Source organism: Homo sapiens, chromosome 2 (genome assembly GCF_000001405.40).
Source record: "Homo sapiens chromosome 2, GRCh38.p14 Primary Assembly".
In the NCBI taxonomy this organism is placed as follows: domain Eukaryota; kingdom Metazoa; phylum Chordata; class Mammalia; order Primates; family Hominidae; genus Homo; species Homo sapiens.
The window spans coordinates 190,178,878-190,205,976 of record NC_000002.12 but is presented as its reverse complement, the minus strand read 5'-3'; the positions used below and the strand labels follow the sequence as shown (position 1 = coordinate 190,205,976).

The following is a 27,099-nucleotide window of genomic DNA, read 5'->3' as shown; positions in this document are numbered from 1 at the left end:
GCGGTTGTAAGAAATAATATAGAGATCTTGCATACCTTCCACCCAGTCTCCCAAATGATAACGTGTGTGTAACTACAGTATACTGGACATTCCTCCCCCTTTTTTTTCGGAGAAGTTACAGATTGCCTCATAATCCTGTGGGGATACTATGTGGCTATGATGAGTGATGACTACACTGAAATAGGAGAACTAGACGGTTTCATGATAACCTGATTTTTTTAAATCCAGAGCTGTCTGAACTGGAGGATTCAGCAGAACAACAGTATCCACATTTAATTATGCATGAAGTCCCCTTTTCTCTACCTTAAGCAATTAATTTCCTCCCAAAATTCAATGTGGAGGAGGTTAGAAGGCACATCTGGTCCCTCTGCCCTCCCCTGCCTTTACTTTAAACCACTGGTTTTACCTGTTTTGTAATGTGGAGGTTTCACTGGCAATTTTATTTCAAGAAGAAAAAAAGAATTCTAATGTTTAAACCACTGGATTAATTCAGTAGGCTTTATTAAAGCTAAGACATGAGGCTTAGGAAGTTAGAAAATATCCACCCCAGTCATCAAAAGTATATTGCTGTCCATCCCTGGAGATTTAATTTAAAAGAAAAATAGAATACATATAAAAATTTTGCAGGAAAAAAGTATGATAGAAAAATGTGCCTAGTATAAGAATTTCTGTCAATTCAGTAAGTAAAATCTAGCAATATTAGACAAAAATAATGGTATTAACATTTGTATCTTCTCTTGACAGTTTTAATTGATAAAGACCAGAGTCCAAAATGGAAACCAGCTGATCTAAAAGAAGTTACTGAGGAAGATTTGAATAATCACTTTAAGTCTTTGGGAAGCAGTGATTTGAAATTTTGAGGTGACAGGCTTTTAAGGTATATTTTGTAGCATGGGTTGGCAATCTACAGCATGTGGGCCAAATCCAGCCTGCTGCCTGTTTTTATATACCCTGTAAGCTAAGAATGGTTTCCGCATTTTTAAATGGTTGGGAAAAGAAATCAAAGACTAATAATTCATGACGTGAAAATTATCAGAATTCACAAATAAAGCTTTATTGGAACTAGCTATACTCATCTGTTTATATATTATCTGTGGCTGCTTTGAAATGAGTAGTTGCAATAGAGATGGTAAAGCCTACAAAGCCTAATTATTTACTGTCTGGTTTTTGTCAGAAAAAAGTTTGTCAATCCTTGTTTTAGAAGATGGAAAAATGTGAAGATCTTTGGAGATTCTCTTGAGTGGTATATCTAATTGAAATGGGATCTTCGTTTGGCTTGTATGTTGATGAAATCAACTTAGGTATACAATATAAAAAATAAAGACCCTGAAAATTGTTTTGGATACTGTGTTAATGCCTCATAGAATTTTTGTTTTGGATACTGTGTTAATGCCTCATAGAATTTTCTCCATATATGAGTGTGTTTTAAAGTAACTGAGTTACTGTAGCAGAAGAGCTCCTTTTATAAACATTAGAAACCTTGGGCAGAGAGAAAAGATTTTTATTAACGTCCCTCTTCAGTATTAACTCAGACTTGGTCTTCCCTAAAATAATCAGAATACCATCCCATGGTGAAACTGAAAGGATTATTTTCTTGTTATTTGTGATATTTGTTAATCTGGTAGAATGAGAAATTAGGAAACTCCAATCTCTTAGATAGAGACACTCTGTTTTTTTATAATTTACGTAAGACTTTTGTGTGATAATTATCCTTACAAACAAGGTTCAAGTCAGGAGAAAAAAATTAATTGAAAGCAAGAAGACTTTTGTTCAAAAGATATATTCAATAATTGATATTGTTAATGAAGTAAGTACTTTTTAAGGTATGAAAGAACTAAAAGGTATTCCAGACTCAGAACCTTAAAGTTCTAGGCAAGAATAATTTTTAAACTAAAGGTAAGTTTATAAATTAACAAAGTAAACAAAATTTATGATTTTGTTTTTTGTTTGTAATTTTTGTTTAATTTTAAAGGTAAGTTTATAAATTAACAAACAAAATTTATAATTTTTTGTTTGTAATTTTTGTTTATAAACAAAATAAATTTTTTGTAACTTGTTATAGTTTCTCCTTCATCCCATACTCTTTAGAAACTAAGTGAACTTCAGGTTTGTAAGAATAAAAAGCCAACGGAACTGAAAAAGACATTAAAGATCATGTCCTGCACCCTTCTCATAGATGAGGAAATGGCAGCCCAGAAGGTATTGCTTTATGTTTTCTCAGTTCTTAATCTGTTTTATGTGAAGCATTTTTCTTTCAAATAATTCAGTAACAGATCTGGAATAAAGATGCCATGATATCGGATACATTTACATTTATACTCTTAAAGGTCCTAAATTGGACCTGAATGATCCAAGAAATTATTTGTATAAATGGATTTTTGTTCTCTATATTTGTTAACAATGCAGAAAATGTTGTCTTTTATATTGTTAAAAAATTCAAAGTACACACTGTCAGAAAGCATTTGCTTCAGTTAAATAAGAGCTCACACTAGTTAATTGCAACTGGACTTTTATTGTGCAGTTACAACAACAAATGTTTTCAGAAAAATATTTGGAAAAAATATACCACTTCATAGCTAAGTCTTACAGAGAAGAGGATTTGCTAATAAAACTTAAGTTTTGAAAATTAAGATGCAGGTAGTGCTTCTGAACTAATGCCCACAGCTCCAAGGAAGACATGTCCTATTTAGTTATTCAAATACAAGTTGAGGGCATTGTGATTAAGCAAACAATATATTTGTTAGAACTTTGTTTTTAAATTACTGTTCCTTGACATTACTTATAAAGAGTCTCTAACTTTCGATTTCTAAAACTATGTAATACAAAAGTATAGTTTCCCCATTTGATAAAAGGCCAATGATACTGAGTAGGATATATGCGTATCATGCTACTTCATTCAGTGTGTCTGTTTTTAATACTAATAAGGCAGTTTGACAAATTATTTCTTTGGGACTAAGGTGATTATCATTTTTTTCCCCTTCAAAATTGTGCTTTAAGTGCTGATAACCACAGGCAGATTGCAAAGAACTGATAAGGCAACAAAAGTAGAGAATTTTAGGATCAAAGGCATGTAACTGAAAGGTAACAACAGTACATAAGCGACAACTGGGGAAGGCAGCAGTGAAACATGTTTGTGGGGTTAAGTGAGTCATTGTAAATAAGGAATTTGCACATTTATTTTCTCTGATAACCTGCTTCCATGTTGCCACCTGGAGGCTCTTTGTTGTGCTGGTAGAAGCCCATTTGCCCTTACTCTGGATGTTCCAAATGTTTCCCTTTCCAGGAGCTAGTCAGTCTTTCAGTCATCTGTTTTATATGTCTCCTGCCTTCTCAGACAGTCCTTCTACTCTCTTTTATTGTTCATGAAAGACCTTCAAATTGAAGTAAAGCCCATATTTCAATATAAAGATATGAAAGAAGGCTAATATCCTATCAGTGATATTCTCATCCATCTTGTCATGAAGGCCATACCATGATAACTATCACATGTAATGTAAATTTGTTTATTCATCTCTCTTATTCATTTATTCATCTTTTTTCATTTGTTTATTCATCTTTCTCCCATTTGCTCCTGTCTTGATTTATCCACTAGCTCACTGATTATGCAAGCCTTGTAGTTCATATATGTCATGGGTTAACATACAATACAGCATATATTTCAGACATAAGTGTTTCAGAAATATTGTACAGAAGATATTGTACTCTATTAAAATGTGATTCAGGGACAAGGGAGTGGTGCTTGGTGATAAAAGTATACTGCCATAGTTGCTGAGGAAGGGCAGCAACAGAAATCAGACTTCTAGTTGATATGGATCTGGCAGGCATCTCTGTCACACCCCTGGGAAATAGTGGCCCAGGGCACAGAAGGAACCTGAAATTAAAATATTTAGATACAACCAAAACTCACTTGTCTGTCCCTATGTATACTGAAAAGTTTAGTGGGGCATGCTGCTTTACCTGGCTTTGTGTTTTCACCATTGTACTTATTTTATATACCTAATTGTACATTTTAAGCAGCAGATGACCTTGCAGCAAAAATGTCTTGGTGTGAGATGCAAAATGAATGAAAAACAACCACACCTAGGCTTTTGTCACTCAACCTAAACTACTCTTCATGACCTGGAAATGTTTTATACTTATGGGAAACTTTCTGCCCTTAACCTTATAACTTCAGATCCTTGTATGAATGGGTTTGGTTGTTTTTCTATTATATAAATTGTAGATTGCAAGTACAATGGGACAGTACAAATCCCGGGACTCGGTAAAATTAGAGTTGAATGATGAGGTGTCCAAAGGCAACGAAAACATGGCATATTTCAAATAATGTTTTCCTTGCTTATGTAACTTGGAGAATTCACTCTATTTGATTGTGGGTTTCAAAGTATTAGTGTTAAAATTAGAGGTAGATTTTCTGCCTGCTTACAAGACAAATACATATTTATCTCATTAAAGAGGTCATAAGCCTTTTTTTTAACCTTTATATTTCAATACCAATGGTGTATTGTGGATCTAACATACACAGGCTTAAATAATTTCCTTTCCATTTAAACTCAATGTCTACCAAATCTTGATGAAAAGATAATTCTAGAAACTGAAGTCTTAATTTTCTAACAAGTCATGTCTTAATTTCTTCTTCTCCCTCCCAAATTTTCTGTTACCACTGATCTTCAAACAGTACTTAATCCTTTAAAACAAAAAGGTGTGTGTGTATGTGCTGTGACAGTAAAAATGAAAGAGAAAAAATAGCTTCCCTAAAAGGTAGCCAGGCTTATGGAAACAGTATAATAGGTGGCTATAAATGCCCTATAGGCTTGTGTTACCACTAAAAAATAACAAAAACCCAGAAAACGAGTACTCTCCTCAAAGGACAGTTTTATCTTTTCCGTTTTGCAATACAACTGTAAATCTTCATGCATTATCTGGTCTATTTTAATGGTGACCGCCTTACTAGTCAAGAAAAAACTGGAAATAAATGCCCATATTCCAGCCCTCTGTACCTCTGAGATAGTAAAGCTTAATACAGAATTAAAACTGAAACTTTCTACCTTGCAGACTAAGTTTCTGTTATTTTTAAGATTTATTGGATTGCTCTTTGTAAAAGGTACCCCTACTTGTTTTCTTGTATAGTTATATCACTGGGCTTAATTCAATGCAATAAACACTAATGTCATGGCTTCTATAAACTGTTATCTCTAAGATGGCTTTAGGCACAAAGTCTGAGTCGTCCAGTAACAGCTGTAATTAGTTAGGGCCCTGAGGTCCAAGGTGGTAGTTACACTTCTCATCTACAAAAATAAATATCTTATCTTATTAAAGACAGGGTTCATTTGTGTCAAGAAGTAGAGATCCTTGACAAACAAACAAGACTTACTGTTAATCACTATGATTTGAGTGCCATTCCCTCGCCAAGAAATTTTAGAAAAGCCCTTTTCATATCTGGACTTTTTTTGGGTATAAACAAACAAAAATTGTTATTTTAAAGGATAAACTTCAACCATTGGAATTTGGGGCAGTTTTTATTCCTTAGCATTTTCTTTGGTGATGCCATTACTTAGGAAGAAGTGCTGTGACATTCAGCTGATTATTGGGTGTCACAGGACCTCTGTTCAGCCCTTCAGATGACTAAAATCTAAGACTAAACAGAAATTGCTGTTAACATAGAAGTACTTAAAATGCATTTCATCCTAGTTGTTCTTATAATAGTGACATTATCGTAGACACATTTTTAAATCCAGATAGTTATTTGTACTTTTTCACACCAGTTTTTGCTTTTGTCACATTTATTCAAACTAGCACCTCCACAGTCAAAGTGTTGTCATCCTACAGCCTCAAGGCCCCTCACTCTCAATGTATGGAATGTCATGGTACTTGATGTTATTGCATGCCCATTGCTGCAAGGCATCACACAAGATATCCTGAGACAGGCGGTGTGCATATTCCAAGATCACAGTATTGGTCCCTGGAGGTTCCTTCACTTCCTCTTTGACATTAACTGGAGAAGCCATCCTAGGTAGACATCTCTCTTCTGGCATAAAGGGTTCTTCACTCTCATGCTGCTTCTCACCTTCATATATGGTAGGAAATGGGAAAGTTTGCTTTGATTTCATGCAGCCCATGTTATGAAGAGCTGTTTGTGGAGGAAGCAGTGGCAAAGACTACTTCCAGGCCATCTTTAGAAAACAATGAAATTTGTCCATGTGATGTTGACCAGTGCTTTCCCTCTCCAGGGCACTTCAGTAATCAATGTTCCCTTTCACCACTCTTCACGTGTAGTGTTTACCTGTCAAGAGAAGGTAGGTTTCATTTTGAAGTTACAGAATGCAAAATAGTGTATGATTGAGTGGCATGTAAAAATCCTTTCATCACTTTGGTCACATGGAAGAAATCTGAGGTAAAAACAAACAGCTTTATCTTATCAGTAGAAGAAAAAGATAATCACTCAATAAAAATGGCAACTTGCAAAATAGGAAAACTTTTTTTCAAGATCTTGCATATTTTATAAAACTGAAAACAATTCAATTTTTGCTAGCTTAGATTTATCTATACCAAAACAATTCAATTTTTGCTAGCTTAGATTTATCTATACCAAGGGCTAGCAAACCATTGGGCCAAATTCCAGCTACCTATTTTTGTACAGCCATGCTCACGTGTTTACATGTGTCCATGGCTGCGTTCATACTACAACAGCAGAACTGAATAACTGTGACAGACCATGTGGCCCACAAAGCTTAAAATATGTACTATCTGACCCTTTACAAAAAATGTTTGCTGAGTCCTGATCTATACTGTCAAGCAAAACAAGCACATCAAAATTTTGTTCCTCCCCAAACCTCATGAACCTACAGATCTTGGACTACTGTTAGAGTCTGGCTTTATCCCCTGGTCACATATTTACAACTCAAAGAGTAGTAAACAATGTTGGCTTTACTCTAGTGCCACGTCTAAACAATATAGGTTACATATAGCAAAGCCACCTATTGACTGTTCCCTGTGAAATTGTACAGAAGCTCAGATTAAGGTTAAAGGTTTTTCCTCCTAAATGTCTCATTCCTACCCTTGTTTGATGTTTGGTCAATAAATAGATGACAATGCTTGTGATGTGCCTTCTAAGCCTCCCAAGTGTGTGTTATCACAGAATGAACTCCTCTTAAGGGACTTAAGGATAACTAAAACAATACAAGACAGCTTCATTTTAAAGAGGACTGAGTGTAAGAAGCACAGGTAATCTCTATGAATGAGATTAATGGTCCCTGATTGTATCTTAGTTTTGGGACTAAAAACATAGCTCTAAAAATTCATAAAATCTGTTTCTGAAAACACCTTTTTTTTTTTTTTTTTTTTTTTTGAGACAGGGTCTTACTCTGTTAACTCAGTCTGGAGTAAAGGATGCAATCACGGCTCACTGTAGCCTGGACCTCCTGGGTTCAAGTGATCCTTCCACCTCAGCCCACTGAGTAGCTGGCCTGCAGGCACAAGTCACCATGCCTACCTAAGTTTTTGTAGAGACAGGGTTTTGCCATTTTGCCCAGGCTGGTCTTGAACTCCCGGGGTCAAGTGATCTGCCCACCTCAGCCTCCCAAAGTGCTTGGATTACTGGCGTGAGCCACTGTGCCTGGCCTGAAACCACTGATCTTAAGGCAAAAGCTTGCGTGCATCTAATTCATTTTTTAATAGTTTGTAATTAAGGATGTCCAGAGGAGGTGATGTTTGCCAGGTCTACCACCATATATTATTCTATAAATTCTACCCAGTTTCTCATAATACTACATCTGTTCCTACCCCTAATAAGAGTGATATGAGGGTAAGAAAGGAAAGGCAGTCTTCTGCTTTTAATTACCTTTAGTTCTGTATGCCCTGCTTCACGCTGCATACTTCAGAGATGTTAATTTTAAAAGGGAAACAAGTTATGTGTGGTGTCTGTCTTGTTTACTAGCCTGAACTGAAGATGGGGACTGTCTTGGTTGTTAATCATCAGCATGTTATGATTTTTCATAGTGTCTAGTTTTTACTGTGAGGGATGGTTAAGGGAATTGGACATGGTTAACCTGAAAAAAATTACTTGGAGAACTCAATGAGTGTCAGATAAATAAAAGGCTGTGAGTGGAACCATCAGTGGAACCATCAGAATATTCTGTTTTTTAAGACCTTTTGTTTTGCAAAAGCAGCTTTTTCTTACCCTAACAAAGTAGTGCCAGATTTGTGCATTTGCCAAAACCAGTTTTAAAACCAGACAAAATATATGTTGCCATTATTTTCAGGCATAGAGCAACAAGCAACACTGGATTGTGATCCCTGAGAGAAGAAAAACACAAGATGTTAAATCCCACAGATGGTCATTGTGGGATTCTACCTGGGGGTATCTCCCAGCATTACCGTGGGAGTTGAGCCCCAGGAGAGTCAGAGAGTGGCAACTCTGATGCAACAGAGGTTAGGGTTACTAAAACAGCTGGAATTTATAAGATAGAGTTCAAGATTGGGAAGAGAGGCAGAAATCTGCATGAGACTTGGCAAGGGTACTGGGATGTGCATGTCCAGGATAAGGATCTGCAAAGTGTTAGCAAACGATTACTTCCTCTAGGACTTAAGAGTTGAACAGTGACACCAGAAGTTATACAGTACTTAGAATCCTTGGAATTGCAGCCTGAGTGGAGCAATCTCATTGAACACTTTCGTATTTAGTTACTACTCAAGAAATGCGACACCTTAGGAATCAGTAGTATACCCTAAACAAGGTTTGGCAAGTGTTTTCTTAAAGGGCTATGACTTAGGCTTGTGAGCTAGGATGTTTGTGGCTTCTCCAAATTCATATATTGAAACCTAATCCCCAACGTGATGGTATTTGGAGGTGGGGCCTTTGGGTGATGATATTAGAGTTTTAGTGCTCTCATAAAAGAGACCCCAGAGAGTTCCCTTGCCCCTACTGACATGTGAGGCCACAGTGAAAAGCTGTAAACCACAAAGCAGGCCTTCACAAGACACCATATATGCTCATGCCTTAAACTTGGACTTCCCAGCCTCCAGAACCATGAGAAATAAATCTGTGTGACTGATTGATAAACACCCAGTCTTCTAAATACTCCATACTAGTCTCTGGTATTTTGTTATACCATCCTGAATGGACTAAGACACATAGGGTCTATGTTACAACTACTCAGCTCTGCTATTATAGCACAAAAGAAGCCAGATAATATATTAATATTAAACAAATGGGCATGGCTATATCCAATAAAGCTTCATTTACAAAAATAGCCAGCCTATGGACCACATTTGACTAAGTTCAAACAGAAATAATCCTCTTTAACAAGAAATAAAACAATACCATTTAAAGGAAGATAACATAAGCCAGATGCCTTACAAGGTATTATTCACAATGCCTACCATTCAATTAAAAAATTACTAGCCATACAAAGAGGCAGGAAAATCTGACCCATAATCAAGGGAAAAAAAAAAAAAAGACCCAGCATTTCTTAATAGAAATTAATAATAGAACTTTAAAGTAGCTATTTAAGTATACCCAAGAAAATAAAGGAAAAACTAGTGAACAAAAAAAGAATCTCAGAGAAATGGAAATTGTAAAATAAAAATGGAAAATCAGTAACTGAAATGTACAAGATGTGAAATGAAAAATTCATTGTGTGGACTACTGAATGTTGGAAAAGATAGGATTAGTGAACTTGAACATAAATCTATAGATGTGTCCAATCTGAAAAATGGAGGGAAAAGATTTAAAACATAGAGCAGCCACTAAAGAGATAATGCAAGTATGACTTATGAGGAAAGGAATTAGATACGTTTAACCCAGAAGAAGACAGGAAAGGAAGAACATTGGGGGTTGGGGAGGGACAATTAGAAAACCAACATATGAAAAAGCCTTCCATGTGAAAAATTACCTGAAAGAAAATGGACTAAAAATAACAATTGAAAGGCAGAGATGATCAGACTAGTTTAAAAATCCAAACCACACATACATAGTCTTTTCAACGAGTGCTGGAACAAACAAATCATCCATATGCCAAAAAAAAAAAAAAAAAAAAAGCTGGACACAGTTCTTAAACCCTTCACAAAATTAATTTGAAATGGATCATAGACCTAAATATAAAATAGGACTCCTAGAAGATAACATAGGAGACAATCCAGATAACCTTGGGTTTGGCGACAACCTTTTAGATTCAGTGCCAAAGGCATGATGTGTTAAAGAAATAATTGATAAGTTGGACTTCACTAAAAAACTGCTCTGTTTAAGACATGGTCAAGAAAATGAGAAGACAAGCCACAGACTGGGAGAAAATATTGCAAAAGCATATTTGATAAAAGATTGTTATCTAAAGTATACAAAGAACTTTTAAAAGTCAACAATACAAATATGAACAAGCTAATTGAAAAATGGGCAAAAGATCTGGACAGACACCTCACGGAAGTCTTCTTACATATAGGTGGCACATAAACGTATGGAAAAGTGTTCAACATCATGTCATTCAGGAATTGTAAATTTAAACAGTGAGATAATGGCAAAAGCAACAGAACTCTCATTCACTGTTGGTGAGAATGCAAAATGGTACGGTTACCTTGGGAGGACAGTCTGGCAGTTTCTTAGAAAGTGAAACATTCTTACTGTATGATCCAGCAGTTCTGCTTCTTGGTATTTACCCAATAAGTTGAACGCTTAAATCCATGCAAAAATCTGCATATGGATGTCTGTAGCAGCTTTATTCATAACTTTGAAAACTTAGAAGCAAGCAAGATGTCCTTCTTGGTGAATGGGTAAACTGTGGCACATCTAAACAATGGAACATATTCAGCATTAAAAATAAATGAGTTAGGCTGGGCATAGTCACGCCTACAATCCCAGCACTTTGGGAGGCTGAGGCGAGTATCATTTGAGCCCAGGAGTTCAAGACCAGCCTAGGCAACATAGCAAGACCCCGTCTCTACAAAAAAATTAAATATGAAAAAAATTAGCCAGGCATGGTGGTGCACACCTACAGTTTTAACTACTCAGGAAGCCGAGGTCACTTGGGCCCAGGAGTTGGAATTGAAGGTTGTGGTAAGTTAAGATTGATTGCACCACTGCACTCCAGCCTGGGTGACTGAGCAAGACCCCACCTCAAAAAATAATAATCCAGCCATGGGAAGAAAAGGAGGAACCTCAAATACTTATTACTAAGTTAAGCCAATCTGAAAGGGGTACATGCTGTATGATTACAACTATATGACATTCTAGAAATGGCAAGACTCTGGAGACAGTAAAAAGACCAGTGGTTGCCAAGGGTTATGGAAGAGGCTGAGATGAATAGGTGGAACAGACAATTTTTAAGGCAATGAAACTATTCTATATGATACTAATAATGGATTTCTGTCATACATTTGTCAAAAACCATAGGTTGTACAACACCAGGAATGAACCCTAAAATAACGTGGATTTCAGGTGATTGCGATGTGTCTAGTGGGAGATGCTGCGTGTGTGTGTGTGTGTGTGTGTGTGTGTGTGTGTGTGTGTGTATACACAGGATACGTGGGAACACTACTTCCTGCTCCATTTTTCTGTTAACTTAAAACTGCTCTGAAAAACAGTCTATTATTTTTTTAAAAAATACACCCACTATATGCTATCTATAAAAGATACACAACTTAAAACTGACAAACCCACAAGCATAGCTGGAGACTTAAAACATTACTAGAATAGTCAAAGAAAAAATACGTGTTCTGAACAACATTATGCTCCAACTTGAGTTGATATTCACAGAACACTACACCCAACAACTATTACATATTCTTATCAAGTGCATATGGAACATTCACCAAGATAGACTATTGGTAGTCTCAGCAGATTTCAAAGGCTTAAAACATTACACAGTACAATTTCTAACCACCCCAGAGAGTAAAATATCTAGAAAAGCCTCATATATTTGGAAACTAAACATATTTCTAAATAACCCATGGGACAAAGAAGAAAATCACAGGAGAAATTAAAATATAGTTTCAACTAAACAAAAGCCAAAACATCAAAATTTTGAAATGCATTAGTTTTAGAGCTTAGAAGGAAATTTATATACTTAAATGCTTATAATAGAAAAGAAGAAAAGTTTAAATCAGTGATATAAGCTTTCACCTTAAGCTAAAAAAAGAAAAGCAAATTAAACCCAAAATAAGTAGACAGAAGTAGGTAAGAACAGAAATCAGTGAAGCATACGATAGAGACAACAGAATGAATGCTGGTTCTTTAAAAAGATCTAATAGATACATCTCTATACAGACTGATCAAGAAAAGTCACATATTAAGATGTGTAATGGGCATTATGACATCTATATACGTTTAAAAGGCAAACAGGAATAATATAAACAATTTTATGCCAATATCAAATTACCAAAATTGGCACAAGAAAAAAATGATAGCCCTACATCAATTAAAGAAATTGTAAATCTTTCCAAAAAGAAACCTCCAGGCCCTAATGGCTACACTAGAGAACTCTTACCAAGGCCATTACGAGGAAGTAATACCAGTCTTATCTAAACTCTTCAGAAAAGAGAGAAAGAGGAAAGAAAGATTTCCCGAATTATTCTATATGAGGCCAGTATTACCAAGAAGACAAAACTCCACAGGCCAATATCCCTCATGAACATAGACCCAGAAGTTGGCAAATTGAATCTAACGTGTAAAATGGATAAAACATGATGACTGAGTGGATTTATACCAGAAATTCAAGGATATTCCAAAGACAATAGATATAATTCACTATATTAACATAAAAAAAATCAGATGATCACCTCAGTAGAAACAGAAAAAAAATTTTGATAAAATACCATTTTTTATTTTTAAAATCCCAGCAAAGTATTAATAGGAAGGCCTTCCTCAAAAGTAATGTTAGTGGTGAAAGACAACACTTTTTCCCTATGACAGGAGCAAGGCAGCAATAGTCATTCTCATGATTTCTGTTTGATATTTTACCGGAAGTCCCACTGAGTATGAGGAAGGGAAGACATACAAAGCATAAAGATTGAGAGAAGGAGAAAACTGCCATTATTTGCAGATGACAAAATTGTATAGAGAAAATTTTAAAGATTATATGGCCTCCCCCCAAAAAAAATTTACTGGAATAATTGTAGCAAGGTCTTAACATATAAAAGTGACATATAAAAAGTAATTTCTACAAACTTAGCAGAAGATGAAATTAATGCCATTTGCAATAGCATCAAAAACATGAACACTTAGGGATAAATTTAACAAAGCATATGAAGGAAAACTGCATTTTGTATTGTGTACGTTGTACGTGAAAAATACAAAATGTTACTGAGAAAAAGTAAAGAACCTAAACAAACAGACAAATGCTGTTCATGATCTGAAAGACAATATTCTTAGTCCTCCCCAAATTAACATGTATATTCGGCAAAATTCCAGCAGGCTTTTCTGTAGACATTGACAAATGGATTCTAAAAGTCCAGTCAAAATCCCAGCAGGATTTGTTTTATATATATAGATATATAGATACACACACACACACACACACACACACACACACACACACAGATTCTGAATTATACATGGAAACACAAACTAGAATGGCCAAAACAATTTTGAGAAAGAACAATAATTTGGAGTACTCCTATTATCTAATGTTAAGAATGACTATAAAGCTACAGTAATTAGTGCTATATTGACAAAAGGCTAGCCACAAACCTATGAAACAGAAACAAGTCCAGAGATACACCCATAAAAATATGGTAAACTGATACTTGACATGTCCAAAAACAATGAATGCAAAAAGGATAATCTTTTCAACAAATGGGATTGGAACAATTGGACATTCACATACTCTCCCCCCACCAAAATCTACTTATACCTTATACTTTATAGAAAAATTAACTCAAAAGGGATCATAGTTTTAAATGTAAAATGTAAAACTATAAAACAAGAAGACAAAACATTTGCGATCTTGGGTTAGGAAAAGAGTTCTTAGATGTGATACCAAAAGCATGAACCATGAAAGAAAAAAACTGGTAAACTAGACTGAATCAAAATGAAAAAGATTTGCTCTGGAAAAAAAAACACAGTTAAAAGATTGAAAAAAAAACAGCAAATATAAAAAATATTTGCAAGTCATCATCTAGCCAATAAATGACTTGAATCCAGAATATATAAGTATCAAAACTCAATAGCAAGACAACAACCCAGTTTAGAAAACGAGATTTGAAAGATTTAGGCAGTTCACTTGGTACCACCTATAGATAGCAAATATAAGTACATGAAAGATGCTCAATATCATTAGCCATTAGGGAAATGCAAATTACAGCCATGATAAGAAACCACTATGTAGCTGTTAGAATGGGTAAAAATAATACCAAGTGCTGGTGCATATACAGAGCAACTGCACTCTCATACATTGCTGGTGGGAATGCAAAATGACATGGCCTCTGGAAAAGTTTGGCAGTTTCTCACAAAGTTGGAATAACCACATAGAAGACCCAGCAATCCCACTCCTAGAAATTTACCCTAGATACATGAAAATTTGTGTTCACATAAAAAAATTGTATGCTGGCTGGGGACGGTGGCGCATGCCTGTAATCCCAGTATTTTGGGAGGCCTTGGTGGGTAGATCACCTGAGGTCAGGAGTTTGAGACCAGCCTGGCCAACATGGTGAAACTCTGTCTCTACTGAAAATACAAGAAAGTTAGCAGGGCATAGTGGTGCACACCTGTAGTCCCAGCTGCTTGGGAGGCTGAGGCATGAGAATCACCTGAATCCAGGAGGCAGAACAGAGGTTGCAGTGAGCTGAGATCACGCAACTGCACTCCAGCCTGGGTGACAGAGTGAGACTCCATCTCAAAAAATAAAGAAAAAAAATTGTATGCAAATGTCTGTCACAGCTTTATAATTGCCAAAAGTTGACAACAAAGATGTTAATGTACACCAATATGGATGACTCAAAGGCATGCTGATTGAACAAGCTAGTCTCAAAAGGTTACTTATTTATATGACATTCTGGAAAAAGGCAAAACTATAGGGACAGATGATAGATTAGTGGTTGACAGGAGGTTGGGGGTAGACTGTGACCAAAAGGGCAGCAGGAGGGACCTTTTTTGGAGTGATGTAACTATTCTTTATCCCGATTGTGGTGGTGGCTGTAACAAATCTAAACATGCGTTAAAATTCATAGACTTGTTCACCAAAATGAAGTCAGCTTTACTGTATGTTAAAAATTTTAAAAAGGTATTTTTTAAAACCACAATATAATTACCCACACTAAGATTGCTAAAATTTAAAAAACCCCAGTGCTTAGTGTTGGTGAGGACATGCAACGCATATATTGCTGGAAGGAATGTAAAATGGTACAACCATTTTAAAGAATTCCTTGGCTGTTTCTTAAAAAGTTAACCACACACTTACCCTGTGAACCAGCCATTTCATTTCTAGATATTTATCTAAGACAAATGGAAACACAGGTATTTTAAAAATCTGTATACCAATATCCATAGCCTCTTTATTCACAATAGTCAAAGCTGGAAACAACCCAAATGTCCATCAGTAGGCAAATCAAATGGATAAACAAATTAGGGATATCCTCAAAATGGAATATAACTTGACAATTAAAAAAGGATGAACTATTGGTATGTCAAACCACATGGATGAATCTCAGACATGTTGAGCCAGATAAAAAAGATGGATCATATTTATATGAATTTCAAGATTGGACAATAGTGACCCTATGAATAGAAATCATAGTAGTGATTCCCTTTGGGTGGGAAGAAGTAAGGACTGTTTGGAAGAGGCCCTGAAATAACTTTCTAGGCTATTAAAAAATTCTATATCTTAATTGGTATGTTAGTTACATGAGGTATATGTTAAAACATGTTAGATTGTACCTTTAACATCTGTTTACTGTATTTCACTGTAATTTTTACTTTAATAAGATATAAGAACAGTTTTTGAGAACATTCTGGGGCACCTAAATCCAGGGGACTGATGTATTTTATCTGAAAAAGACCGCCTATGGGCAGCATCCAGAGCGGACCAGCTCCCTGTGCTGGAGGACTCCAGTGTGAGGCCTGCTGCTTCCTTTCTACATTGGCCTGAAACCAGCCCAACTCAGTGGTCATAATCTTCTGGGCCTACCGAAGAGCAAAAGCCTACTTCTAGTTCTTCCAGTTGCCAGTTCAAGGGCTTTATCTGTCACTTCCTTTGGGAACAGGTAGAGTGCTTTGATTTAGAATGATGGCAATAAATGAGAAACCAATTTGAAATTGGATGTGAGAGTCTTTTGTCCTTTATTGTGTTGTTCCTGAACTTGTAGCTAAGGAGGGTAGAGTAGAGAGAGGGATATATAACCTTATCCAAGGAAATAGATTAGTAATACTTCATCCCCACCACACTTTAATTTGCACATATTTCTAGAGTATAGGACATCAAAAATACCTAGATATTAAAATATTTATGTTGTTAACCTTCAGCTGGTTTAGCCGTATCTATTAAGGATAGAAAACAACTGTTCTTCAGTTACTTATCACATCTGCTTACTAATTTATGTTATGTTTATCATCTCTTCCCATCTAATAGATGAAACAGGCAGATAGGTCTGGCTCTTCCACTTGCTGACCCAGAGTTCACATGGCAAATAAGAATGGAGCTGTCACTCCGAATTCCAGCTTCTTCTTGGAATAAAAGTGCTCCAACGGTACTTTATCCAATCCAGCCTATGTTTTTAAGTGTTAACTTTCTCCCTTTCTTGAACTTATAGAACCTCTGTCCCATCTTTGAAGTTAATTCTTGCCGGTAAAGACCAAGATAGCTCCTTCCCAGGGTCTCTGTTTCTTTCTTCTCATTGCCCCTGTCCTTGACCTGATCTCTGGGCTATCAGCAAGAACGTGATGGCCCAGACCTTCCCAGTCTCCCAAACAGGTCTCTGGGTACTACTACCCCAGGACTAGTTCTCAAATCTGGCCTTCAAGTCCTGTGTTGGGAAAAATGACACTGATATATTCATGTAATTAGGTAATCATCTGGTCCAGTAACTAGCTATCTAATGGAATTGCTCATGGCATGCTGAGAAGGTGCAGTTGCCCTAATTGAATGGATTAGTAAACTGCCCCCACATATTTGTTAATCAGATTTTCATGCTATAGTTTCCATCCCACAGAAGCCTCAAGATTTATCATGAATAAAAAAGCATCATCCTTAAAGTAAGAGCCAAGAGGGAAAAAAAAGTTCATGTGAAGCATCTACTGTTCATAATAGCAGCTGTTTAAATACTTTTAAATACTTAAAAGGCAGTTACAATACAGTACTTTAAATACTTAAAAGGCAATTACAGTATAAGCCTGCACACCAGTGAAGAACAAACTTCGTATAATTTCAATCACTCCTAATAAGATAGTTGATTCATAAGGAGGAAATAAAGTTTCAACAATGTTAGCCATTAATGCAAGTCAGTGGTTAGGCAGCTATGATTAGCCTTAAGATAGCAGGTGTGATCAGCTGTCCTGAATTAATTTTTAGTCTGTTATTCATTTGTCAGGTTGGGAAGTGACTATGGTCATCAGTTGAAGGTGTGATACATTAAATGCTGCATATCAACCAGGAAGTGTTTTGGCCTTCTTGTCATTTTAACTGGCTAATTACAGAAATATAAAATGTTTAAAAAACACAGTTTCTCAAAAATATTTAAATCAATCTTTTATACCTTAGTTCTCAAGATACACAAAAGAACTATCAGAGCATCCCTTAACCATCCAACCAGTCTATATTGAGTGTCTACTATGTGTTTAGAACCTGCGCCCATAGAATGTAAGTGCTTCCAAAATTAACAAAATCAAAAGGAGAAAGAGAATATAATTTATTCAGGCTATAAGTATTAAAATCTAACAGTGCCCTTCCACCCACCACTCCCTCTCCCTCTGTCTCCTACCCCTCAAATCACAATGCACAGACACATATATACACATGACAGTCATACATGAGGAAAAGAAAGCCCCTTTACATGTTTCAATGTTATTTGAAGGCTCAAAGCTCTAAAAATATAGAATGAGCCCTGACACTATCCTCAGGAAGAGATCTAGCAACAACTGGGCCTTCTGTTGGGTCCGTCAAAGAAAAAATGTGATTTACTGCAGCTACCCACCTTTTTTCTCCTAGAGCCAGGGTCTCAGTCCATCGCCTGGGCTGGAGTACAGTGGCCAGTTGTGGCTCACAGCAGCCTCGAACTCCTGGGTTCAAACTATTCTCTGGCTTCAGCCTCCTGAGTACCTGCGACTATAGGCACGTGCCACCATGCCCACGTTATTTTTTATATTGTTTGTAGAGACAGCCATATTGCCCAGGCTGGTTGTGAACTCCTGGCGTCAAGTGATCCTTCTGCCTTGGCCTCTCAAAGTGCTGGGATGATAGGTGTGAGCCACCATGCCTGCCTAGCCCTTCTTTATAGTTCATTTTGTAGCTGTGTTCCTCCATTCTGGGTGCAGTGTCATCAAAAGGAGTAAATTCCTTGGGAATATGCCAGTGGAAGGTATCACAAAAAGGCCATAATTTGGACATGAGTTGGACCCAAACACAAAACCAGCAAAAAAAAAAAAAAAAAGTAACTTCTAAAATCTGCTGTGTAAACGAATAGGCTGCTAACTCCCCAGAAGTCCATCTTAAACACTGGATTAACAGGGATGGTTTATTTTACCATTGTCCCATTTTATGTCATATTCTTAAGCCTTTACACAGGTTTCTAAGATGCCTTATATCTCAAGTTATTGCTTAAAATTGGTCTCACCCTGAATTAATGTAAATATATAAAAAAACCATGTTGTGGTCTTTGAAAAAGTTTTATGCATATATATATAAAATGTCTTTCAAATTTCAGTGTAGATGTGATTAATAAAAATACCAATTCATTAAAACATAACTCGAGGTGGGCAGATCACCTGAGGTCAGGAGTTCAAGACCAGCCTGGCCAACATGGTGAAATGCCATCTCTACTAAAGATACAAAAATCAGCTGGGCATGGTAGCAGGTGCCTGTAATTCCAGCTACTCAGGAGACAGAGGCACAAGAATCACTTGAACCTGGGAGGCGGAAGTTGCAGTGAGCCATGGTCACGCCACTGCACTCCAGCCTGGGCGATAGAGTGAGACTCAGTCTCAAAAAAAATAAAAAATAAGTTTATAAAAAATACATATATCTCAGTTCCTAGTAACATATTTGTCATTATATGTTCTCTAATAATGGATACTAAGAATATACTTTCTTGTAGGGCTCCGTGAAAACTGGACAGTAAGTGGAGGTCTTTGTACTGGGAGTATTGAGAATCATTCACTTGGACTATAAATTCACAACAGGATCAAATGACATTGGTTAAACAGGCAAACAGAAATGGACATAATTTAAATGTAGTGTTCTTTGTCTTTCACCAAAAAGGAAAAGCTACAAAATACTGTATATATGACTTTGGTCAGTATGAAGGTCACCGAAAGAACACTACTGTAGGGACCTTAGAAACTGAGAAGTCGGTTTCATCCTTAGGCACTTAGAGCACACACACTGTACAGCTGGTCACTGACAGGATGGGCTCAGGATGACTCCATGTGGTCACACTTGGGGCCAAAATTTCTCAATAGAGAGGCAGAGAAAATAACATTGTTAAGAAATGAGACAATGTTTGAGATTCTAATAAACCTGAATAAAGCGGTATGGTATGATTTTATCTGTGAACTGGGCTCTACCTCAGTCATCTAAAAATTGTGATTTTGGTTGGGCATGGTGGCTCACGCCTGTAATCCCAGTGCTTTGGGAGGCCAAAGTGGGTGGATCACCTGAGGTCAGGAGTTCATGACCAGCCTGGCCAACATGGTGAAACCCCATCTCTACTAAAACTAAAAAAATCAGCCAGGTGTGGTGGCATATGCCTGTAATCCCAGCTACTAGGGAGGCTGAGGCAGCAGAATCGTTTGAACCTGGGAGGCAGAAGTTGCAGAGAGCCAAGATCGCACCACTGCACTCCAGCCTGGGCGACAGAGTGAAGACTCTGTCTCAAAAAAATAAAAATTGTGAATCTATATGTAAAGCATCTAGAACTTCCCTTGGAACGTGGAACATGTTCTGTGTTATTTCCATTTCTTATCTCTCCAGATTGTCTCCTAAAGCTACTAACATCTAATTATTAAGTGTTGTATTATATCTCCAGATTATAATTGAGGAAAGAGAATTATAATCTAAGAATGACAACAGTAATTTAGGATTTTGAACAATTAGATGATAGACTAACTGTTGAACAGGCGATAGATGTCTTAAGTCCAGGTATCAATACTTCATCTCATTTACCAGGTCCTCCAGGTAGAGGAAAAAAACCACACACATACACAAGCAGGTATTTCCCTAAGCCCTTCTGGGCTTCACTCTGGCTACCAGGTGGCTTCATCTGGCCACTCCTATTTATGGCCATGAATGTTGACCTTCAATCTGCAGCAATTCCTCCAGCACCATAATATAAATCCTCACAGAAAAATGAAAAGGAGCTCTGACCAACTAGTAAAGAAAATCTGATCTAGAACCTCTTCCCGCTTTATCATTTTGTTAAGTTGGTAGATAAGCCCCAAATTCTAACCACCTCCTCCAGTCACATTTCTTTTGCAAACTCCTGTGCATACGTGTGTTTAAATCTGTTCTATTTATGCCATTACTCTTTTATCAGTTTGATTCACAGGCCTTGGTCACAAACCTAAGAGGGTAGAGGACAGCTTTTTTCCTCCCCTACAAATTCAATTTCTATTAGTCTTTATGTAGTAAAACCACTTCATTTTAGAACAAGTAGGAGGCATAAATTAATAAAAGAGTGTTAAGTGCTGTGCACTGAATTAAATTCTAGGCAGCAGTATATGTAATTTTGAGCACTGAAAAGAATCATTACTCTGGTATAGAGACATGGAAGAACAGTGTTCAAATTCACTAGGACTCTAGGTCAGAGGACCAAGAAATTCAGAAAATTTTGCCATTTAAAGTTTCATAGTTCTTTCATGATCCATATACTCCACATCTTTACCTAAAGAGTTACTGTATGGTTCCTATTTTCTGTGGCCTAACAGTACAGTGTCTTGGGGGAAGAGAGGTACATTTAATGTAACCATTTTTTAAAGCCCTGTTTTTACCCAATGGACTTAATTTCTCACTAATACAAGGAAATTTCCTCTCCCATCAAGTGAGTCTCCTTGGCTCACCCATTCTCATTTCCTACTCCTAGTCCTCCTTTAAGTTGAAACACACCACCTCGCCTTTATCTCCACCCAGCACCCTTTCCCCTGTTCCTTACTTAAACCCAAGTACTATCTTTGAGGATAGGGGAAGCCGTATCTCCTTATTGCAGACTTCCTAGTCCTCCTCCCGCCCTTCCTCAGAATTCTGTTCTTGAACTGAAGTCTAGTCTTTAATTTATAAATGCTGTCTCCCCAAATGAGATTAGATATTCCTCAAGGGCAGGAGTTATTTTTTTCTTTATTTTGTACAGAACAGTTCTCTACATCAAGGCGATTAATGAATGCTTACTAAAGTTTTCCTATTTATCAACTATCCATGTGCCTATAGTATGTTAGATGTTGGGAAGAACACAGTGAAATTTACATAGTTCTGCCTCTTGCAGGCTGTTTACATGCAAAGACTACAAACTTGCAGTAGTGTTTGGGCCAGTGTTTTGTTGGGCCAATGCAGTGTTGAAACTGTTCTGAATTAGAATATTTCTAAGCTAGGCATTCACTCTTTGGGTCACATATCTGTTACTCCCTCCCATTCAGCTTCACTAATTTATGTTACCTTCAGCCCCTTGTGAAACACTCTTAATTTCACAACTTTTAACTTACAAGGAATAAATTCATTCTTAAAATACAAGGCTCTTCCCATGTGAGATACTGATTAGAGTTATTTACTACTGCCAAAACTTTTAACATTATAACACCATGAGTGGTTCTACTTCTCAACCACCGACTTAGTGCATGTTGTGCATAGTATACTTACTATATGGAAAGTATAGTAAGAAAGGCTCATTTTAAAATTCTCAAATCCAAGGATAGATAGCGTATTCTAATGAGAAAGAAAACAAAACTGCTCAGCAACATTTTGCTCCCTTAAAAGCAAATGATTTTCAAGCTGGAAAGTATGGAAACCTCACTAAGAGAGAACTAAGGTGCAAGCAGAAGAGGTCATTTTAAAATAGTCCATGCCTTCACATTCTGGTGAATTATATTCCAGGGTACCAAAAGAACCTGCAGATGTCAGCACAGAACTATTCTGACAACCTCTATAAAAACATGGAGAAGAAGGGCAGTCTCAAGAGACTAGAGATTCAAACAGAACTTTTTTCCCCCAGTGTTTTTATTTTTAATATTCAAAATTAAAAGAAAGAATTAGAATTCCTAGACTTTACAGACTAATAGTTTGACATCTATCTCTGGCAAAATTCGAAACTTAAACATTAAACAAGGAAAAATGAGGGGTGGAGGAAAAGACTGCGGATTTCTAGGAACTAACAATTTGCTAAGAATCATTCATTTTTAAACTAATGTTATTTACTTTTGTGGTAGATCAGGGAATATGCAAGATCTTTACTTTTCAGCAAGACATTTTTCTCATAATGTCCTTATGGAGAAGACTGCTCTATGGACTAGAATAGTTTGATAAGAAAGGGCTGAGTCCAGCGAATTCATTAGTTCAAGCAAAATCTACTGAAGGCCAACTAGATTTCCAGCCATTATCGTACTTGGCACTTTCAATACTTTGAATTTTAACAACCACCCTGAAAGGCAGATGTTACCTCATTTTATTGATACTGAAGTTTCTCAAGGTCACAAAGCTAATAGGTATCAGGGCCAGACTCCAAAACCAGCCTCCAAAAATCCAGGACCATTCCTACTGTGCCACAGGTTTCTAGAGGTACCACGGTCACAGTAAAAGGACTTGTCCTATCTATTATCAGTGACTTGAATGTCTGGTGAATAAACTCAGCAAATGTGTAGGTGACACAAAACTGAAAAGTAGAATTAACATGATGAATGACATAAGATTAAAACGTCTATCTAACAAACTGCAAACCATACAGAGGCTTTAAGTAATACAAGCCAAGAGAAAAAAGAAATTCAGATTCAAGAAATGCTTAACTGCATAATTTAAAAATTAATAAAGCCTACCTTTATTTTTGTCTCCTTTGCTTGACAGCAAAGCACACGGGGTATGGAGGTGAGGTTTTTAGTCAACTTCTGAGTATTTACTACAAATGCCAATTAAGCAATAGATTATTTTATTTGAAGATGGCAGCTCATTGCACCCTGCACTGTTTGGGTTAAACTGACTTATTGAATTCAATTTTGGGCTAAGGATCTTTAGCACAGAGAGGGGTCTTAGGTAAGGAAGGAAACATAAAAACTAGTATTTATTGAAGATAACTAACATTTACTGACTCCTAGGCACCTCTACTAAGTACTTTATTAATATTATTAATTTAATCCTCACAGTAACCCTAGGGTTAGACAAAGTATATTATTCCCATTTTACAGATGAGAAACTGAGGCTCAGGGATCTGAAAGGCTGTCAAGCAAAGGAGACAAAAATATTATTTTGTATCACTTTAGACCTTTCATTTCTTAACTATTTTTGGGTCATGGACCCTTTTCAGACTGACTAAAGTTTCAGATCCTTTTTGCAGAAAAATCTTGTTTCTAAGTTCACAGTTGGAGCGCTATTGGCCAGGTAGGACTAATGAGAAACAGGTACTGCTTCCTAAGTGATTGTCAGTTCAGCGTAAACAAGGCCTTGCTAACAACAGAAAAGGAGGAACCCGTCAAAATGTAATGAGCTTCCTGTCACTGAAGTGTTCAATCAAAATGTGGCTGGCCTGTCAGGAGTGCTACAGAGGAGATAATAAAATGGATTGGAGGTTGGTCTACAATTTTAAAGCATCCTTTTGTTACAACATTGTGTGGACCTAAATAAGTAATGATTATAATTTTTGTTTAATGGCAAAACAAAATTAAAAACTGAAATTATTCTTCCAGACCATTCTGCTTGAAAGCAGAATGCCTAAATAATGTTATTTGCCATCTATTTATGATAGCCATGTTAGGTGTTTGAAAACAGCCTCATCCAAAGGGAAAAAGGAATAGCCAACTGTTGATCTTGGTTTGATTTATACTTTGTCATAATAAAAGTAGATTCCCTATTCCTCCGAATTCTTATCTAAAAATTTCCCTGAGAGAGCTGCCACATACACTAGATCCTAAAAAGATGGTCTTTGATAAGAACATTTACTAGTTTACAATTTTATGTTAACCTAATTCCCTAAAGGATAGGGGAAGGGCTGGTGTCAGACCAGAGACAAGAGAGACAACTCCAATTGTTCCGCTTTGCTTCTTTGACCCCTTAACTCATGGCTAAAGGATCTTACCCGTCTACTCCTCTTAATTTCTTATTTGCATCATTTCACCTCAATATTCAGCCTCCCACAGCTCCAAAGAGCACGAGAGCTAATACTTTGCTCATGATATGCCATTCAGAGCACAAGCCTGACAGCTTGGCATATCAATGCAATGTTCACGGGCAAATCTCTTACCTGAAAATCTTCACTCACTCTTCAGGTAGGCAGCAGGGTGGAATTGCAACTCATAATGAGATACCTTTCACTGGGAAGCCCAGAACAAAATTGAAGGGGTAGGGGCTAACTCTTCTCGATTAGGGGACGGAGATGTGAGGCTCTATCCACGGCAGCTGGCTGAGAACGGTCTCGTTTAATTAAAGCCTCCTGTAACTCATGGGTTTCTGCCATTGAAAAATCTAAAAGGCACAGCTGACAAGCAAAGACCGACAGACACCCGCCCTTCACCAGTCACCCACCTCCCAGATGTTCACTTACACAACACGTTGCCCGGCAGCTGCGCGCCCATGGCACGTCCGGACAGCCGTGGGGTCCCGGAGGCAGCCTGCGCTCAGGCCCGGGGCGGGTCTCCGAAGCTCCCGGAGCAGCCCTGTCGTGGGAGGGGGGCTTGCTGGCGTCTGGGCGGGCGGCAGCTGAGGCCGGGCGGGGGCAAAGTGCAGTCCAGCTGCCAGGGCAGCGGCGCCGCCTTCTCGCCGGCGCCCGGCTCAGCCAAGTGGCAGCATGTGGAGGACGGGGCGTCCTTCGGCGGCGCCCGGGCTCCCGGCCCCTCCTCCTGCCGTCGCCGCCGCGCCCGCCGCGCGCTCCTCGCGGGTTCGCGGCCCGCACCTGGCCTCCAGATGGCCGCCCAAGGGCGCTCGGCTCCAGGGCGCGCCCTCTGGGAGCGACCCACGAACTTCGGGTGGCAGAGGGTTGCCTCGATACTTCCTCAGGCGCAGGGTCCGAGGCAGGGGCGGGCGGAGCGGAGCTGGGCTGCCAGCCGGTTGGTCTGGGCCACCGCCCTCACGCCCCCCGCAACTACCAAGCAGCTGCCGGCGCCGCAGCGGGAACAGACCCGCAAAGGTCAATGAAAGCAGAAGCCAGCGAGGCATCGCAGAGGTCAATGAAAGTAAGAGCCAGCGAGGCATTTCGCTGGCCCTGCCCCTGGTCTCGGCCCCCTGGGCTGCGAACTCTCCTGAGCTCCGCCCTGGTGAGAGGGGGCGCTGCCCTCCAAGGCCTCTCCCCCGCGGGGCCTGCCTTGGGACAACAGGTGCTGGGCCGGGGCACTGAGCCCGCCTGCAGGGGGCCCCGCAGCCTGGCCGCGGCCTTCCCAGCTAAGGGTTCTGCGCTTGGGCCGGGCAGAGCTGCCAGACCTGCTTTGACCTGAAACCCCACTCTCGCAGAGCTAGGCCAGGGATTCCGCCCTTCCCACCTCGTTTGCACCATGAGTATGCAGAGCAAAAGTGTTGGAAGTACTTAAACATTTAAAGGACATATCCATTTTATACTTTTCCATACAGAAATACTCAAGAACATTTTCCAAGCGTGTTTCTCTTTCAAACAAAGTATCTCTAAAGGCCATTTTCTCACTCTTTAAAGCATTGAATACCACTGCCTCAAAACATGGCCATTATTGAGTTACACTTCCCCGCACAGTCCATGTGATGCCTGCATCTGCCCAGCATGATTTCTAGCAATAGTAAAAGTCCCAAGAGAACTACAAAAGAACCATTATTTTCCTTGTGTTCTACAACGGATTAGTCAATGCGAAATTCATGCTTGAAGGGACCTTAGTGATAATTTTGACTCCACATTACAGATGAGGACACAGAGGCCCAGAGTTCAGCAGTACAACGAAAGAGAGTGGAACTTAAAAAACTAACAATCTATAAACTGAGACTTAGCTCTTTGAAGGTACATTATAGTAAAAAATAAACCTAGATTGCAGAAGAGTTGAGAAGTTTAAGTTACACAAAAATCTATCCCAGAATCTCAGATTTTAAATGAATCAAGCATTCTTATTTTTATCCAGGCTTAAATTAGCTAAGGTTATATACAAACCCAGTGGCCCAGAAATGTAATTTTTCTTCATGCTAGTATGATTAATGGGATTGGAGTTGGTACATCCTGACAATCATAGAATGTAAGTATACCTATATTAATTGATTTTTCTGATAAGTATCATTTTTTTTTTCTTTTTTTTGAGATGGAGTCTTGCTCTTGTCGCCCAGGCTGGAGTGCAATGGCGCAATCTTGGCTCACTGCAACCCCCACCTCCCAGGTTCAAGCGATTCTCCTGCCTCAGCTCCTGAGTGGCTGAGATTACAGGCGCCTGCCACCATGCCAGGCTAATTTTTGTATTTTTAGTAGAGACAGGGTTTCACCATGTTTGCCAGGCTGATCCCGAACCCCAGACCTCAGGTGATCCATCCGCCTTGGCTTCCCAAAGTGCTGGGATTACAGGTGTGAGCCACCGCACCCAGCCAGTATCAATTTTAATGTATACAAATTGATTATACTTACATAAAACAAATTATTCAGTTCTACATATTTCAGGCACACCATGCTAAATAATTATGCTCAAATGCAAGGTTCCACTTTTAGGCCTAGTTCTTCACTTAAGTTATGTAATTTTCTTGTGCTCTTCCTTCCCCAGCTTTAAACTTCTATCAACCTAGTGCTGGAATCATCCTTAGGAGACCCCTGGGTTCCACACTGAGGGGATGGCGTCAG

The 27,099-nt window shown here is 38.2% G+C and overlaps 2 protein-coding genes across 13 annotated transcripts in view, besides 4 other annotated features; one reads left to right on the top strand and one right to left on the bottom strand.

Annotated features, from left to right (window-relative positions):
• Nucleotides 1–16,242, top strand: part of HIBCH (3-hydroxyisobutyryl-CoA hydrolase) — a 130,092-nt gene extending 113,850 nt beyond the window's left edge. For 3 of the 6 annotated variants that reach the window (NM_198047.3, NM_014362.4, XM_011510954.2), the window contains one exon: nucleotides 745–2,057. In NM_198047.3, coding sequence (NP_932164.1) covers nucleotides 745–750 — 6 coding nt within the window. In that variant the 3' untranslated portion in view covers nucleotides 751–2,057. Of the gene's footprint in view, nucleotides 1–744; nucleotides 2,058–2,088 lie in introns of those variants that run through there. The other 3 variants (XR_922903.3, XM_011510953.3, XM_047443905.1) reach the window with 2 other exon arrangements.
• AKAP19 (A-kinase anchoring protein 19) overlaps nucleotides 2,493–27,099 on the bottom strand; it is a 323,923-nt gene continuing 299,316 nt past the window's right edge. For 5 of the 7 annotated variants that reach the window (XM_047446008.1, XM_047446009.1, XM_011511983.2 and 2 more), the window contains one exon: nucleotides 2,493–6,280. In XM_047446008.1, the coding sequence (XP_047301964.1) occupies nucleotides 5,829–6,116 (288 nt within the window). In that variant the 5' untranslated portion in view covers nucleotides 6,117–6,280 and the 3' untranslated portion in view covers nucleotides 2,493–5,828. Of the gene's footprint in view, nucleotides 6,281–24,848; nucleotides 25,115–27,099 lie in introns of those variants that run through there. The other 2 variants (NM_032321.3, NM_001042519.2) reach the window with 2 other exon arrangements.
• Nucleotides 24,361–25,160: an enhancer, noted in NCBI's record as "H3K4me1 hESC enhancer chr2:191045543-191046342 (GRCh37/hg19 assembly coordinates)". NCBI's record gives its function as "activates a minimal SCP1, AML or CMV promoter by ChIP-STARR-seq in naive H9 embryonic stem cells {active_cell/tissue: H9 hESC(naive)}" and the evidence as "EXISTENCE:reporter gene assay evidence [ECO:0000049][PMID:30033119]".
• Nucleotides 24,361–25,388: a biological region, named in NCBI's record as "H3K4me1 hESC enhancer GRCh37_chr2:191045543-191046342".
• Nucleotides 24,939–25,388: a silencer, noted in NCBI's record as "silent region_12175". NCBI's record gives its function as "represses an Ori minimal core promoter by ATAC-STARR-seq in GM12878 lymphoblastoid cells {active_cell/tissue: GM12878}" and the evidence as "EXISTENCE:reporter gene assay evidence [ECO:0000049][PMID:35858748]".
• Nucleotides 25,659–25,758: a silencer, noted in NCBI's record as "silent region_12174". NCBI's record gives its function as "represses an Ori minimal core promoter by ATAC-STARR-seq in GM12878 lymphoblastoid cells {active_cell/tissue: GM12878}" and the evidence as "EXISTENCE:reporter gene assay evidence [ECO:0000049][PMID:35858748]".